This window comes from Homo sapiens, chromosome 4 (assembly GCF_000001405.40).
Source record: "Homo sapiens chromosome 4, GRCh38.p14 Primary Assembly".
Classification (NCBI taxonomy): domain Eukaryota; kingdom Metazoa; phylum Chordata; class Mammalia; order Primates; family Hominidae; genus Homo; species Homo sapiens.
In genome coordinates, this window is record NC_000004.12 from 114821250 (window position 1) to 114839202 (window position 17953).

A 17953-nucleotide genomic window follows, 5' to 3' on the forward strand; every position below is an offset into this window, starting at 1 on the left:
AGAATAAGTTGTGGAGTTTTCAAACATTTTATTTGGAGGAAGATTTAGGGGTTTTTAAGGAAAGGAATGGTATAGTCCAATTTAGAAGCTGTGTAGACCATCCCATCAGTAGTGTGGTGTATGATTTAGAGAGAAGTGAAAGCTCCTGGCTGTACCAAAGGGAGATAATGATAGAATGAAAGAGTGTTGAGAAGTGTGATATGAGGCCAAAAATTAAGGCTCAATATCATCTGCTGCCTTGATATCTGGTAAAATCTGAAGGACCTTGAATGGCATATCCACAAGTTTCTCTTACCTCTCTGCTCCAGTGGATAAGGTTTTCTAGCTAAAAATCCTCCTGATTAAATGGACTCATTGCAGTTTCTGCTCATCCCTGAGTAGCGGGTTTTGGTTCCCTGACAATCTGCAGAGGAATTCAGACAAGCCCATCACATCTTCCTGTGGGAGCTAGCAGTGACCCCTCTCTATTGGTACTCCAAAACCTGCCTCCCATAGCCCCTGATTGTTCACTGTGTTCCTAAGTGCAAGCCCCATGGGGCTGCATGGCATGGGATGTCCTCCTCTCTGGGCTGTGTGTACAGTTGATCTCATCTGTCTTGTGTTGAGTGTTGTGTGTTCAGCCATTTTTTTATAACCCCAGGGTAGGAATCCCTCTCTCACCAATGGGGTGAAAAGAGGACCTCATAACAAGTACACGTGGAGAGTAGAGCTCAGAGCTGTTCTGTCTAGTAGCTTTTAGCCACATGTGACTATTAAATGCTTGAAATGTGGCAAGTCCTAATTTTTATGTGCCATAAGAGTATAATACAAACTGGATTTTGAAGACTATGAACACAATAATATAAATATCTCAGTAAACATCTTTATAATAATTGCAGGTTGGTATATTTTACATATGTTGTTGTTGAATAAAATATTAAAATAATTTTCATTTTTATAGTCTTCTAAAGTGGTTACTGGAAAACTAAAAATTATATACATGGCTTCCATTTGTGACTCATGTTATATTTGTACTCTGAGACTCTGGTTTAGTGAAATGGATTCAGGAAGAGATGCAGCATAACTTGGGTGTATGGAAGAGAGAGATTTCTAGAAAGGACTAAAATGTTGGTCTGGTTGGGTATAGTCATTAAAAAGACAAAAAGATAGAGGAGCAGAAACTTTACTTGCGTGATGATTTTGGATGTCCTCATTTGAGATGTCAGGCGGATATTTAGTTGAAGATGAACAGTGTAAGGTGGATACTAGGTCTGGAATTCCTGAGGAAGGTTGGTGCTGAAGATACAGATTTTGGAGTTGTTACTTCTGGCATCTAAAGTCATGGATAAAATTTCTAGAGCTAGAATGTAGAGCAAACTGAAAAGGTGGGTGGTACATATTAAAATACATAAAAGGGTTAAGTAAATTAGTACTGCTGAACACACTTGAGTGTTAATTAATTAACTAAAAGTTAATTAACCTTTAGTGGCTACCTACTATGTGCCAGGCTTTGGTGATATATGAGATTTTAGGCATTAGAAAAACAATAAAAGTTTTTGAATGGAAATTAATAACATATAAATATCTTATTTCAGGCATAAAATGTTGTGTATTTGCAGTTTTAAAAATGCAGAAAACAGGCTGGGCAGCTGTGGCTCATGCCTGTAACCCCAGCACTTTGGGAGGCTGAGGTGGGTGGATCACCTGAGGTCAGGAGTTTGAGACCAGCCTGGCTAACATGGTGAAACCCTGTCTCTACTAAAAGTACAAAAATTAGCCAGGGGTGGTGGCAGATGCCTATAATCCTAGCTATTCGGGAGGCTGAGGCACGAGAATCGCTTGAACCCAGGAGGCAGAGGTTGTAGTCAGCCAAGATGGCACAACCGCACTCCAGCCTGGGTGACAGAGTGAGACTGTCTCCAAAAAAAAAAAAAAATGCAGGAAACAACAGTGTTTGATATTAATAAATGTAATAGAAAATACATTTAAATATAATAAATAGTTTTTATTTGTGGCAAAATCTTTCTAGAAGAAGGTGACATTAGAGATAAAGACTTGTGGAGAATTCTGAAAAAGTTTCTTGTAATTTTATAGAACTAATTCTTTATTATATATGCTTTTATTATATATATGTCTCCATATGATACATATGCTGCCATTAAATTTTGTGACTTTGGTTTGAGGAAGTTGCAGCTCTAGATCTGATATTTTTGATAGAATATGTGTTACGTTGCAAAGAAATTTAAGAGAGCAATATAAAGAGAAGGTACAAGGGAGATATTCTGCTGAATAGACTGACAAAGGAATAGATAGGAGGAAAAGGAAAGAGACTTCAGTAGAATGGACTGAGACGGCACTACTTTGCTGTCAATGTTATCAGAAAAATAACAAGGAAAAGCACAAAATTTATTTTTTGATAGTGATGAGGAAGACAGTTTCCCATTTTGACCACATATAATTATATGTTTAAGATTTATATGTTTTATTTTAAAAGGAGTAGAAAAAACATATTCTTTTCGATAAATGAAGAGAGAATGATTCAAATTTTACATATTGTTGTAATTAACATGTTCCCACACAACTGCATCAGCATTGTGCTAAGTTATTTAAATGTATTTTCAATTAATGCCTATGAAAACCCAATGAGTAGCTATTGTCTATTTTTTACTAACTGGCTTAGAAAAGTTCCACAAACTGTCCGAGGCCACACAGCTAGCAGCTAGTAAGAGGGAGAACTGAGATGAGAATTCAGTTCTCATAACCTTGTGGTTATACTTGTTAAGGGTTTAAAATTCAGGGAGTATGTATACAGTGAAGAAAGATAAAAGAAAAGATAAAGAATCAACTATTGATTAAAGCCTTGGATTTCAGAGGAGAAACAACATGACTCTAGTGACCATACCAGCAGTAGTATTTATTCTGAGGAAGTGAGAGCCAATGATATGCTATGCATGTACTACATCAGTTTTTTTTTTTTTTTTTAACAATTTCAGTAAATACAGAACTCTCTCCCTGCTTTTCCCAGCCACCTCACTGGCTGACACAGAAAATATAATTTGGGAGACAAAAAACTAGTTGAAGTTTCTCAGACACCACATATATGCATATACATTTGCATTATACACATATAATGAGTGTGTGTGTGTGTGTGTGTGTGTGTGTGTGTGTGTGTCCATAGCTAAGCTGTGTTCTTATTGTTGAAAGAAAATTCTGCTTGCAAGACTAATAGATTTTTTTTCTTTTTGGAATAATGGGCCAGCATTATTTTTGAGGTACTTCCATCAAGGAAACAATTAAGTTTTCTAGCCACCAGAAACTGAGCTTTTAAGATATCTTTCCTCCTATAAATTTTTTGTGTTTTCTGTAATTAAAAATAAAGCAGTACTCATGGTAAATGTGTCACATTATATTAAAACAGTGAGACAGAATAACAAAAACTACACAGGGTAAATGGATAGGTTTGTTAAAATTGAAGGCTACAAAATCTCGTATTGGACTAAAAGCTATTTTTCTAGAAAAAAATGTGATAAAAAGAGTATAAATTTTTCTCACTAGCATTCTTTCTTGTTGTTTATTTAATTCTCTTTGGGCCATTGTTAAATACAAACAAAATTTGGTTTGGGGCGAGTTTTGTAATATAATTTTTAGAGACTGTTACTTGATAAGCATACACATTTTGATAAAGACAATGATCAAATATTGTTTTTGCCTTTATAAATGTGAGGTCATCAATGATTATATCTGTGAATTAGGCAACTGGATTATAAAAAAAAAAGAAAGGAGAGAAACTAGCTTGCTTTAGAATTTTTAAAGAAAGTACGTCATTCAAAGTGGTGAAGAGAGAGTATAGGATTCTAAGGTATGGTTATTTCACAGCGAAGAGGTATCTATCCCTTTTCAGAAATATTTATTGAGAAACTTCTTTTGCTTTATGGCCCACCATGCTGTTATTATTGTGGCTTTTGTCAAGACACTGTCTCTGTATTTATACTGACTATTGAATAGATACCACTGAAAGTTAGTTTGACACCTTATTTGGGAGATTAATATACTACTCTACTTAATTGCTTTGCCTACGGTTTGTGATGCTTCATATTCATTGGTAGAAATTAAAAGAAAGTTTAAGCAAACAGCCTGAATTTAGCCTAAGAACTAAAATTTTCCATTTCTGTAAATTCATTGTAATCACTTTTTTATTTATGGATAGCTTAAATAAATTTCATGACTACTAAAACATATATTATTTAAGACCATGAGATCAAATTTATTTAACATTTTAAAGAATTAAATGTATTAAAATCTTGAGTCAATAATTCTAAAATAGCCAGTGGGTAAAAATTGGAAAAAGCAAGATATTCTTAAATATTAAATTTTTCCTGATTTATTATAATCTCAGAGCCCAGAGTTCCTCTTAGTAGTTTATTGTAAGATGAAGATAAATTATACAATTAAAATTTATTTTGTTGTCTTCATTATCAACCTTAATGAGAAATATGTTCACATTGACTGAAGTAACCAGATTGAAAAGAGTAGTTGAGTTTGGGGAAAATTTTGCTCCCAGATATCTGTAGACAGCTAACTGATACTGTATAAATTATTTAGAAAACAATGAAAATGGCATAAAATGAGTTACACTTTTAAATGCCAGGTGATGGGTTGGAAAACCTTGAGTTACATAGATTGTACTTGAGATGTAAAAAAGTTTCCCTCTGTTCTATAAATATTACTTTTATCCCACTTGAAAAAAAGTTAATCACTATTTTTAAAAAGAAAGATTTATAATATAAATTGGAGGAAACTAATGAATAAATCAAAGGTTCGAGCTGTACATGCAGTTACTGTGATTTTAGTGTGTGTAATAAAATGCTGTGAAGCACACACTCACTTACGCAACAATAAGATGGATAATTGAGCCTCATAGTTAACAGAAAGGGACAACAAAAGTATATGTGATTTATACTCATGTCCATGAAAAGCCTTACATTTTTTGAATAAGGTCAATATCCTTTTGCTGAGAAACAACAGGAAAACAAACAATCTTAATGAAGTATAAATGTAAAGTTGGATGCTGAATACCCCAATTAGGACACATAAATTTGATGTGTTTGCTTAAAAATCAACAACAAACTAACATACAGAAAAATACAGATCTTTGATTTGCTATTATATTATTGCAAGCATAATTTCTCAAATTACAAGAAAAAGTAGTATTTTCTACAGCCAATAGGAAAATTACTCTGGAGGAAGAATAGGTTGTTGGGTAATGTTACCAAAGTCAGTTTGATTTACTGTTCTGTTGAAATTTTACCTTCATGTATTACTGAAAAGTTTAACAAAATATTAATATGCCATCATTGACAAATGAGATAAAAATCCAACTAGCCTTACAATAACCTCTAAATAAGAAAAGAACCTATAACTCTAAGACAGAAAGAACACCACTTCTCCAGAAATTAACATTTGGGTGGCGTGGCTGAGAAATTGGGTTTAGGTTAGAGAATTAGTGATGTTTGAAGAGGTAAGATTTGGATTATACTTATTTTTTTAATAGGCATTAAAAACATAATCTTCTACAATAGTAGACATACTGGCATATATGAAAAATCCATGCTTTAAAAAGATTAACATATACTATGTAGAAGGCACACTGCCTCACTATATATGCAAACACACCTTGGTGTTTTCATTCCATATTTTATCAATAAAGCTTTATTTCTATCTCAGATAGTGAAAAATATATAAATACTATATCGTTGTCAAGGTGGAAATATCTAGATTATTAGTATAGTAAGATTCGGGACCGACTTAAAGATGGCCTTAGACTTAATAGTGGTATTATGCAGCTTCATACTCTTTTTCTTCCCTAAAAACTTTAACAGATTTTGCTGGAATCAAAATGACAAATTCACTGGGAAAGGCATGTGCTGCCAGATAAAATAATATCAGTGAATATGGAAGCTTTCACGTAGTCCCCTCTTACAGGAGGAAAACAAACAAAAAACATGGGGAGCTATAACTTCACAACTTCTTTAGCAAGTCAAGAAATTAGTAAAGAGGAGTCATTGCAGAAAGAAAATATGTGGGCTGATATAATAAAGAGTAATTACTCACAAATAAGAGTATGGGGTTACATAATTCCCTCTCATAATAAAAGCAAAATTGTTTTTAAATTCTCAAGGGGAAAATGTTAGCCCTTAATTCAAATATTGAGTTACGACTAACCTCATTTACTTGGTTTTTCCTTAAAATTTTAACTGCTCACTTGTATATAATCCAGATTATCAGTCGTACATAGAGTATCTGAAACCTTATGCTTAACATAGGAACTGGGCTGTGCTATGATCTATACACTAGAAACTGGATAATGCCACAAACCCCCACATAATCTCCCAAAAGCTTACACAGGGATTGGTGCTAGTAATTGTCAATGCGTGCATATATAACAGTTTTCATTTTATGAAAAAGGCTGAAGGAAATTTATTCACACAGTTCTTTGTTGACAATCACAAGTGCTTGAGAATAAAGGTGGATTTATTTTTTTTTTAACACTAAAAGTATCTTGAGAGGCTTAGTTCTTGTCTCCAGTGCTATCTCACTTTCTGCAGTTCCTGTCTCAGCCACGATGGCAGAGGCTGTCCCAGTCTGTGTAGCAGTTTGGATAGTTCCACATTATGATCTCGGTAGTAATTAGAGAGGAACGTTCTAGACTGGAAAGAAAAAAAGAAGAACTTGAAAGAAGCTCTTTGTTTCATCAAACAGGATATTGTAATCTATATTTCTTAAGGAATATATCTACTACAGTATACGTGTCTACAACATATTATATTTCTTGTATTTTTCCTCAAATATCAGTTATTTTTACCTTTTGAAAATATTTGGCAAAGGTGTAGCTAAAAATAGAAATAGGACCAAGTATATCCTATATGGCGTATCTGTCATTACGGCACATATTTATTGTGGGATATATGAAGTCTACACAGAAAGAAAAAACGATGACAGGAGTGTAATACTAGAGATAAATGAGATAGGGACTGCATGAGGAATGAAATTTATGGAGGTAAGCTAGATAAATGTACATACATTTTTTTTTGAAAATTGGCCTGTAAGATAAAAATTGAATGTGAGCATAATCATAAAAACTAAAATTCACTATTACAAATAATAACTTGCAATATTATGCAAAATTTTTATACATTTACTCAGAGCTGAAATATATTTTTTTAGTCACTAAGAGCTTTTGGTTTCCAAAATATTATAAGGTCTCTGAAGCCTGATCCTTTTTGCAATTCTTATATTTCTAATCATGTTGCAGAGATGGGCCGTTATTAGAGAAATGCTAAAAAAAATATGAATGGTTTTAGTTTTATATTTATCTTTCATCTACACAGATTTCTGGAAAACAGGACATTTCTAATTGGACTTTCTTTCTGGATATCACCTATATTATAACCCAATTGGCAGATTTCCATCTCTTTGATAAAATTGGAGACGAACACTTTTCCTGTTGCTGGCATAGGTAACAATGCCTCCTTCATTGTTTTCCATTTGGTCCAAGATCCACCATCTCTCTTAAGCCCTCCTCAATATTTCAACACAAATGGTCTTTTACCACATAAAACTCCCTTAGCAACTTTTGTGTATACTGTGGAAATGGATTTAAGACAACTACATTTCATCTTGGAACGTTCACCAGGTATTTCATTATGTTTCTTCCCTTAAACCAGATTGTAAACACTTCACATTTCGGATAAGATGTTTATAGTAGTAGTGGGAACATTACATTTATTTCTTGGTGGATTAAAGTGATTTCTGAAACCCTTTTGAAGTTATTGAGTTCAAAAATGTAGCTTAAGGACCTTCTAGTATATCTATTTCCATAGTAACCCATGAATCACCTGCATCCCCCTTTGCCCACCTTGCCATAAGAGAAATATGTATGATACCTGGCTGAGCCAATTGCTGGCTGGTTTTCCAAGCCTGTTCTACCAGATAAGACATTTCTTCTCATATCCTCACTTCTATTGAAATATTTTCCTGCCGTTTTCTGGTTTCGTTTGTCATTGTTTTACGTTTTTATGTCCCTAATACAAATCAGTGGATATAACTAATTTATCCTGTAATAAATCTGAGCTCACAACTGTTTTATCTTTGTATTCTTTCCATTGCTTAGCCCACTTCCACCTGTAATGTAGGCCTTGAATATCTGTATTGAATATATAATAATGATACTTGAATATTTTATCCAAAATCACTTGTTTAGTAAACTATTTAAGTGCTTTAAGCATTTGGAAATGAGTCATTTTTTAGTAAATATTTATTTTTGAATTGCATTCAAACAGCAAATAATTTCTAGGAATGTATATTAATTTTAGTATCTATCTACCGATCTCTATCTATCTATCATTTCTATGTGTCAATTATCTCTATCATCCTCTAAGTATATAAAATTATTAATTGCAAAGGAAGAGCAGAAAAAGGAAGCAAATTTCTTGTTACTAGTTTTGAAATAGCTGTTTGCAAATATTTTTGCTAGAGTAATTCAAAGATTAAAAAATTATTACCTCTGGATCCATAGGTGGATATTTTCGGCCTTTGCTTTTTCCAAGGCATTTTGTCTTTCCTCCTTCCAGTAATTGACACCAAAAACCCTTTTGGGGATCAAACCTACAGTACATAAAACATAATGATTACAAATTGTATGCAGAATTTTCAGTGAGACAGCCTCACCAATTGAATAAAGGAAATGTATTTTTGTATGCCCACTGATTTAATTTAATTCATTTTTACAGATATTTATTTAGCTGATTTGAGAGAGGCTAACTGAGATGAAAGAAGCTATATGTTATTATATATTTTAAGTAGCTATACTATACTGAAAAAAGAAATAGATCTTTAGTTTACTTTTACATGAACATTTTTAACTTAAGTTCCTTAGCTTACCTATGCATCCATAAAAGATCAAAGACCAATAACTGAAATTACAGCCAATATATAAAGGAACTTTAGGATACTTTATTTACTTATGGATGTGATTTCAAAGATATGTTAACAGACTTATTTGAAATCATTCACTGGTATATATTAAAGGGGTTGAATGTAATGTAGGTATACTTCTGTGAATATAAACATGAATTAAAGCTTTCAGTTCAGAAATTATTGCATTTTTTACAGTTCAAAATGCTTACACTTTTCAAAAAACAAATTAGAAGTGTAAAAATAAAGTGGAAGATTAGACAACCTCTTATTTCTCTTGTTGAAGGCAGATAATCTGTTAGATAATTCAGGTACCTATATTCTTACAGAAAACTCTAATGTCGTTTTGCTCACATAGCTGCACTGAGTTATAAAAGAAAGGATGTGTGGCCTAATTTGTTTTTAAAAGTCAAATATGTAAGAATTTTTGTTTAGGACTAACAGGAGAGGAAAAACGGAAGAATGAACCAAATAGGAAGGGAAATTTTAAGTTCATTACTATGGGACTTGCTGCATGCATAAAACATCGAAAAGGTTTGCATTTTTGCTGCTCAGCAGATGTTTTAGAAGGATGAAGCATAATTGACTGGGATATAAAGTTAATTAGTTGCAGAATATTTTGTTGCCCTGGGCCCATTCCTATAATACTGGTGCACCTGCAATTTGCTTCTGTACATATGTGAATTCATTTAGGGGGAGAGGGAAGTTTTCTTCACAGTTCTCTGCCCAACCTATTATTAGAGACCTGAACCTTGCAGTCCAAGTTGTCCTAGTACATGTTGTAAATTAAAATTAAATACATCACTAGTTAAATGGATAAAAGAAAGAGTCATTTCCAACCTGGACTTTTCTTTTTTTTTTTGAGACGGAGTCTCGCTCTGTCGCCCAGGCCGGACTGCGGACTGCAGTGGCGCAATCTCGGCTCACTGCAAGCTCCGCTTCCCGGGTTCACGCCATTCTCCTGCCTCAGCCTCCCGAGTACCTGGGACTACAGGCGCCCGCCACGGCGCCCGGCTAATTTTTTGTATTTTTAGTAGAGACGGGGTTTCACCTTGTTAGCCAGGATGGTCTCGATCTCCTGACCTCATGATCCACCCGCCTCGGCCTCCCAAAGTGCTGGGATTACAGGCGTGAGCCACCGCGCCCGGCCTCCAACCTGGACTTTTCAATCTGCTCTTTGCCTGTCACAATCCTTTCTCCTGTTTTCATTAATTTCCCAAGAGGAAAAACAATTCAGCATGCTGTATAAAATGAGATGAAGTTGGCATAACAGTGCCCCTAAACATTGTTTTCTGCCTCAGGATGAGAATATTTAACTGCATTAAGGTAAAATACAGCCCTGGCAGCAAAGTCAACATATTTATACACATGCTGAGAGCATCTCCTTTGCTCTCAGGTAATGCCGAGGTCTCAGGATGGGCTGTGGTCTCTCCTTGTTATCCACAGCAGCTGTTGTAAGGCACAGCTTAATACAATCAGAGAAAGGAGAGCCCTCCAGAATACCGAAAGTCATTTTTTTTAGATAGGGTTGTCATAACCTTGAATCTACATGATTTTGCTGTCCTGGTTTCATTTATTGCATTGGCAACTTCATATGCCTTAAGTCTAACAAAGGACATTTATCCTCTCTAAGTTATATCAATTCATTGCTTTGTGGTTTTACTTTAGTAGGCATGAAATTGTGAAATTAAGATGCAAAGCCTGCCTCAATATAACTGTTAGGCAACTTTTAGTACATGAGTTGGTTGTGGTTTGAGTTTTTTTTATTCTACTGAACATCACTATAGTTATTAATTTTTGTGATGTGTGAGACATATTAAAAACGACATATTTTGTACTTGTTTGTAATCTCTCCTTCAAAAGTGTAATTTTACAGGTTTATTGAACCATAAGCAACTATTTTTCATAAACAGGATAGAAACATTACCTCAACTACGGCTGAGAGGCAGGAAAAGAAAGCCAACATCAGTAACTATTAATACAAACATATTATAGGAAGCTTCGTTTACTTAATTAACAGGAATAGGCCTTGTGTTGTTGTTATTTCCATGTGTAGGTAAAAACTTCATTAAGGTTGTTTTAGTGGATAAGGAACAACCCAATCTTATTACTGCTTTTCCTGTTCCTCTGTTAGCCTCTCTAATTGTCTAATTGCTGGTTCTAATCTGCTGCGAACTGGGAAATTACATAATTGTGCTTGTTAGAATTTTGTCAAAATTTCACAGGTTTTGTATCAGACCTTGTGGGAGAGGCTTTTATGAATAAAGTACAATCCCTTTTAAGGTATATTTTGGCTACTTGTTTTTGTTTGTTATTCTGCTTCTTTTACATTTCTCCCCATTTTTAATTATAAAAATATATGGTTTTATTTTCCCAAGATGACAGCAATCATATCTCCCATCCCACATTCATTCCCACTGGTGATGCTGTCCCACCCCACCAAGAGGTGCAGTCTTGTTTTTCTCCCCTTGGATTTGGACTGGCTTTAGTGACTATTGTAACAAGTAGAATGTAGCCTAAGTTATACTGTGTGACTGGCAGGTCCAGGTCAGAGAAGGACTTGGCTGTCTTGGACCACATGCTCCCTTGACTTATTGCTCCCTCTTGGAACACAGCCACCACAAGGTGAGAAAGCCAAGTCATCCAGGAGGCCTCATGGAGAGTCTTCAACCCACTGATCTCAGCCTTTGAGCCATGCCAGTCCAGGATTCAGAGACGTGAGTAAAGGAGACTCCAGATGATTTCAGGTCCCAGTCATCTGAGTCAAAGCCAGATATTCAAGTCTTCCAGGCTGTGGCTCTAAACATCATGAGCGAAGACAAGCCATCCTTCTGTATCCTGTCTAATTCCTGACCCACAGATTCCATGAGCATAATAAAATAATGGTCATTATAAGCCACTAGGCTTTGGGATGGTTTGTCATGCAACAATAAATAGCTGGAACAGTATACATGATTATATTTGGTTATAAATAATTTAATAAATACATAATAAAACATGAATATACTCATTTCCCAATTCTGTCCTACATATTGCATTTCATTTCTAACCTGTAAATTTCTTGAAAGAGGAGACAATATCTTTTTCACCTTTGTAAACTAAATTTCTAGGACACTTTCTGCACAGGTAGGCATATAAAAAATTTACTTAATCAAACTGATAACAGGGAAAACTCACAAAAAGAAGAATTTGCAATAATATAACATATACTTTACAAAATAAAGTATTTCTCATATTTAAAAGAGAAACACTACATGATTGATGAGGATATTCCTTTGATTGCTTGTAGGTAGCATAGGATGTATAAATTCTAGCTAGTATTAATGATGTTATATACACACCTACCAGTGATAATTTATGATGGCAAATAATGGAAATGAAATCAAGCATGACAATAGACTCACGTTAGTGCTTCAGAGTAATTATAACGAGGTGTAACTCCCAGAAACTTCTGGACTTCATCCATCACAGTAGCTGGGTCAGATCTCAGCTGCTGTCCATCAATAATTAGCAACTGTAAAGTCAGAAATAGTCACTTTATGAAGAAAAAAATTAAATTGAATAGACTGTGATGCCTTCCTTTACCTGGTGTGACATTCATAAATTAGATCAGTGTGAATAGGAAGCAAATATGCCCTACTTAGAATACATCCGAATGTTTATTATTCTTGCATCCTTCCACATAAACAATAAAGTTTGCCATAGGCATCATTTCTTGTGAATTATCAAGTTATAGCCCTTAACTTGCTTTTTGTAAATCAGAAGTAAACATAGACACTTTCTTGATTTAGTGCTTCAGTAGAAACATAATTTTCCATTTGTTGTGTGATCAGATAATTATCCAGCCTACCAAATTCCTATTAGCTAACCCTGGAGCTTAGGGCTCAGAAATAGTGGTCATCCAAATGAAAATCACCCATCTAATCTTAAACAAACAAGACAGAGGGAGGAGGGAAATGTTTGTCCATGCCTTACTGATCATTGGATCACTGCCCTAGAATATCATAATTGTCAAAGGAATACTGGAAAAGGCCGGGCGCAGTGGCTCACACCTGTAATCCCAGCACTGTGTGAGGCTGAGGTGGGTGGATCACCTGAGGTCAGGAGTTCGAGACCAGCCTGACCCACAAGGTGAAACCCTGTCTCTACTAAAAATACAAAAATTAGCCAGTCATGGTGGCAGGCTCCTGTAGTCCCAGCTACATGGGAGGCTGAGACAGGAGCATTGCTTGAACCCAGGAGGCCAAGGTTGCAGTGAGCCAAGATCGTGCCACTGCACTCCAGCCTGGGTGATGGAGCGAGACTCCATCTCAAAAAAAAAAAAAAAAAAAAAAGGAATACTGGAAAAAGGTCAATGGTAAGGCCCAGCTACTAGGGCTTCAATTTGCCCTGAGCTGGAAGATAGAATATTAAAGTTATGCTTTTTTTGTTAAGTCTCTGCCAGGTTTTGATATCAGGATGATGCTGGCCTTATAAAATGAGTTAGGGAGGAGTCCCTCTTTGTAACTCTGGTAGAATTCGGCTGTGAAGCAGTCTGATCCTGTGTTTTTGGTGGTAGGCTATTAATTACTGCCTCAAATTTAGAACTTGTTATCGGTCTATTCAGGGATTTGACTTCTTCCTGGTTTAGTCTTGGGAAGGTGTATGTGTCCAGTAATTTATCCATTTCTTCTAGATTTTCTAGTTTATTTGCATAGAGGTGTTTATAGTATTCTCTGATGACAGTTTGTATTTCTGTGGGATCAATGGTAATATCTCCTTTATCACTTTTGATTGTGTCTATTCGATTCTTCTCTCTTTTCTTCTTCATTAGTCTAGCTAGCTAGTGGTCCATATATTTTCTTAATCTTTTCAAAAAACCAGCTCTTGGATTCATGGATTTTTTGAAAGGTTTTTCATGTCTATCTCCTTCAGTTCTGCTCTAATTTTCTAATTTTAGTTATTTCTTGTCTTCTGCTAGCTTTTGAATTTGTTTGCTCTTGCTTCTCTAGTTCTTTTAATTATGATGTTAGAGTGTTGATTTTAGATCTTTCCAGCTTTCTGTTGTCATTTAGTGGTATAAATTTCTCTCTTAAGACTGCTTTACCTGTGTCCCAGTGATTCTGGTATGTTGTCTCTTTATTTTCATTTATTTCAAAGAACTTCTTTATTTCTGCTTTAATTTTGTTATTTACCCAGTAGTCACCCAGGAGCAGGTTGCTCAGTTTCCGTGTAGTTGTGCGGTTTTGAGTGAGTTTCTTAATCCTGAGTTCTAATTTGATTGCACTGTGGTCTGAGAGACTGTTTGTTATGATTTCCATTCTTTTGCATTTGCTGAAGAGTGTTGTACTTCCCATTACGTGGTCAATTTTAGAATACATGCTGTGTGGTGTGGAGAAGAATGTATATTCTGTTGATTTGGAGTGGAGAGTTCTGTAGATGTCTATTAGTTCCATTTAGTCCAGAGCTGAGTTCAATTCCTGGATATCCTTGTTAATTTTCTGTCATTGTTCTAATATCGACAGTGGGGTGTTAAAGTTTCCCACCATTATTGTGTGGGAGTCTAAGTCTCTTTGTAGGTGTTTAAGAACTTGTTATATGAATCTGGGTGCACCTGTATTTGGTGCATATATATTTAAGATAGTTAGATCTTCTTGTTGCGTTGATCCCTTTACTGTTATTTAATGCCCTTCTTTGTCTTTTTGGATCTTTGTTAGTTTAAAGTCTGCTTTATCAGAGACTAGGATTGCAACCTCTGCATTTTTTTTTCTTTCCACTTGCTTTGTAATATTCCTCCATTCCTTTATTTTGAGCCTATGTGCGTCTTCGCACGTGAGATGGGTCTCCTGAATACAGCATACCAGTGGGCCTTGAATATGTATCTGATTTGCCAATCTGTGTCTTTGAATTGGGGCATTTAACCCATTTACATTTAAGGTTAATATTGTTATGTATGAATTTGATTCTGTTATCATGATGCTAGCTGGTTATTTTGTACATTACTTAATACAATTTCTTCATAGTGTCATCAGTCTTTATATTTTGATGTGTTTTTGCAGGGTTGATGCAGGTTTTTTCCTTTCCATATTTAGTGCTTCTGTCAGGAGCTCTTGTAAGGCAGGCCTGGTGGTGACAAAATCCCTCAGCATTTGCTTCTCTGTAAATAATTCTATTTCTCTTTCGCTTATGAAGCTTAGTGTGGCTAAATATGAAATTCTTTTTTCTGTTTGAAAATTCTTTTCTTTAAGGGTGTTTAATATTGGCCCCCACTCTCTTCTGGCTTGTAGGGGTTCTGCAGAGATCTGCTGTTAGTCTGATGGACTTCCCTTTGTAGGTAACCTGACCTTTCTCTCTGGCTGCCCTTAACATTTTTTTCTTCGTTTCAACCTTGGAGAATCTGATGATTATGTGTCTTAGGGTTGGTCTTCTCATGGAGTATCTTAGTGGTGATCTCTGTATTTCTTGAATGTGAATGTTGGCCTGTCTTGCTAGGTAGGGGAAGTTCTCCTGGATAATATCCTGAATTGTGTTTTCCAACTTGGTTCCATTCTCCCTGTCACATTCAAGTACACCAATCAATTGTAGCTTTGGTCTTTTCACATAGTCCCATATTTCTTGGAGGCTTTGTTCATTCCTTTTTATTCTTTGTTCTCTAATCTTGTCTTCATACCTTATTTCAGTAAGTTGATCTTCAATCTCTGATAGCTTTTATTCTGCTTGATCGATTCGGCTATTGATACTTGTGTATGTTTCACAAAGTTCTCATGCTGTGTTTTTCAGCTCCATCAGGCCATTTAGGTTCCTTTCTAAACTGGTTATTCTAGTTAGCAGTTCCTGTAACATTTACCAAGTGCTTAGCTTCCTTGCATTGGGTTACAACATGTTCCTTTAGCTCAGAGGAGTTTGTTATTATCCACCTTCTGAAGCCTACTGCTGTCAATTCATCAATCTCATCCTGTGTTCAGTTTTGTGCCTTTGCTGGAGAGGAGTTGCAATCATTTGGAGGAGAAGAGGCATTCTGGTTTTTGAAATTTTCATCATTTTTGCACTGGTTTTTCCTCATCTTCGTGGATTTATCTACCTTTGATCTTTGAGGCTGATAACCTTTGGATGGGGTTTTTGTGTGGGGGTACTTTATGTTGATGTTGATGTTTCATATGGAACCAAAAAAAGAGCCCGTATAGCCAAGACAATCCTAAGCAAAAAGAACAAAGCTGGAGGCGTCATGCTACCTGACTTCAAACTATAGTACAAGGCTACAGTAACCAAACAAGCATGGTACTGGCACCAAAACAGATATACAGACCAATGAAACACAACAGAGGCCTCAGAAATAACACCACACATCTACAAACATCTGATCTTTGACAAACCTGACAAAAACAAGCAATGAGGAAAGGATTCCCTATTTACTAAATGGTGTTGGGAAAACTGGCTAGCCATATCCAGAAAGCTGAAACTGGACCCCTTCCTTACACTTTATACAAAAGTTAACTCAAGATGGATTAAAGATTTAAGTCTAAGACCTAAAACCATGAAAATCCTAGAAGAAAACCTAGGCAATACCATTCAGGACATAGGCATGGGCAAAGACTTTATGACTAAAACACACAAAGCAATGGCAACAAAAGCCAAAATTAGCAAATGGGATCTAATTAAACTAAAGAGCTTCTGCACAGCAAAAGAAACTATCATCAGAGTGAACAGACTACCTAAAGAATGGGAGAAAATTTTTGCAATCCATCTGACAGAGGGTTAATATCCAGAATCTACAAGGAACTTAAACAAATTTATAAGAAAAAAACAACCTCATCAAGAAGTAGGCAAAGTATATGAACAGACACTTCTCAAAAGAAGACATTTATGTGATCAACAAACATATGGAAAAATCTTATCATCACTGTTCATTAGAGAAATGCAAATCAAAACCACAATGAGATACCATCTCATGCCAGTTAGAATGGTGATCATTAGAAAGTCAGGAAACAACAGACGCTGGAGAGAATGTGGAGAAATAGGAATGCTTTTACATTGTTGGTGGGAGTGTAAATTAGCTCAACCATTGTGGAAGACAGTATGGCAATTCTTCAAGGATCTAGAGCCAGAGCTACCATTTGACCCAGCAATCCCATTACTGGGTATATACCCAAAAGATTATAAATCATTCTAATATAAAGTCACATGTACACGTATGTTCATTGCAGCACTATTCACAATAGCAAAGACTTGGAACCAGCCCAATGCCCATCAATTTTAGACTGGATAAAGAAAATATGGCACATATACACCATGGAATACTATGCAGCTATAAAAAAGGATGAGTTCATGTCCTTTGTAGGGACATGGATGAAGCTGGAAACCATCATTGTCAGCAAACTAACACAGGAACAGAAAACCAAATTCCGCATGTTCTCACTCATAAGTGGGAGTTGAACAATGAGAACATATAGGCACAGGGAGGGGAACATCACACACTGTGGCCTGTCAGGGGTGTGGGGCAAGGCGAGGGATAGCATTAGGAGAAATACCTAATGTAGGTGACGGATTGATGGGTGGAGCGAACCACCGTGGCACATGTATACTTATGTAACAAACCTGCATGTTCTGCACATGTAGCCCAGAACTTTTTTTTTTTTTTGAAGATCAATACAAAAAAAAATATATGGATGCCTTTTTTCAAATCCTTATTTCTTGATCTATCTCATGTTCCTGTAGCCATTATAACACTCCCCATTTGGCAGCCTAGTGCATGACCTTCTTTCCTTATAAGGGCCATACAGAACAAACAACATGCAGGTATCTGCATGTGGTGTTTCGTAAAGTTGTTGTCTAACTGGCTATTGTACTGGTAGTTGAGAGTTGTTGCCCATAAATCACATGATGTCTCCTGTATGAGAACTTATCACCTTGAAACTAGCTACTGTTCAAAAGAAGATTGTAAGAATGTGTTTTAGAGATATTTATAATGTTAATAGTATTAATAAAATTAAAAATGTAAAATGCACATTTCTTCCTTACTTAT

At 35.5% G+C, this 17953-nt stretch overlaps 1 protein-coding gene across 3 annotated transcripts in view; it reads right to left on the reverse strand.

Moving 5' to 3' along the window:
• Nucleotides 1-6513: 6513 nt before the first annotated feature.
• Nucleotides 6514-17953, reverse strand: part of NDST4 (N-deacetylase and N-sulfotransferase 4) — a 285858-nt gene continuing 274418 nt past the window's right edge. For all 3 annotated transcript variants that reach the window (XM_017008545.3, NM_022569.3, XM_017008546.2), the window contains 3 exons: nucleotides 12357-12466; nucleotides 8541-8643; nucleotides 6514-6686 (listed from right to left, as the gene is read on the reverse strand). In XM_017008545.3, the coding sequence (XP_016864034.1) occupies nucleotides 6567-6686; nucleotides 8541-8643; nucleotides 12357-12466 (333 nt within the window). In that variant the 3' untranslated portion in view covers nucleotides 6514-6566. The remainder of the gene's footprint in view (nucleotides 6687-8540; nucleotides 8644-12356; nucleotides 12467-17953) is intronic.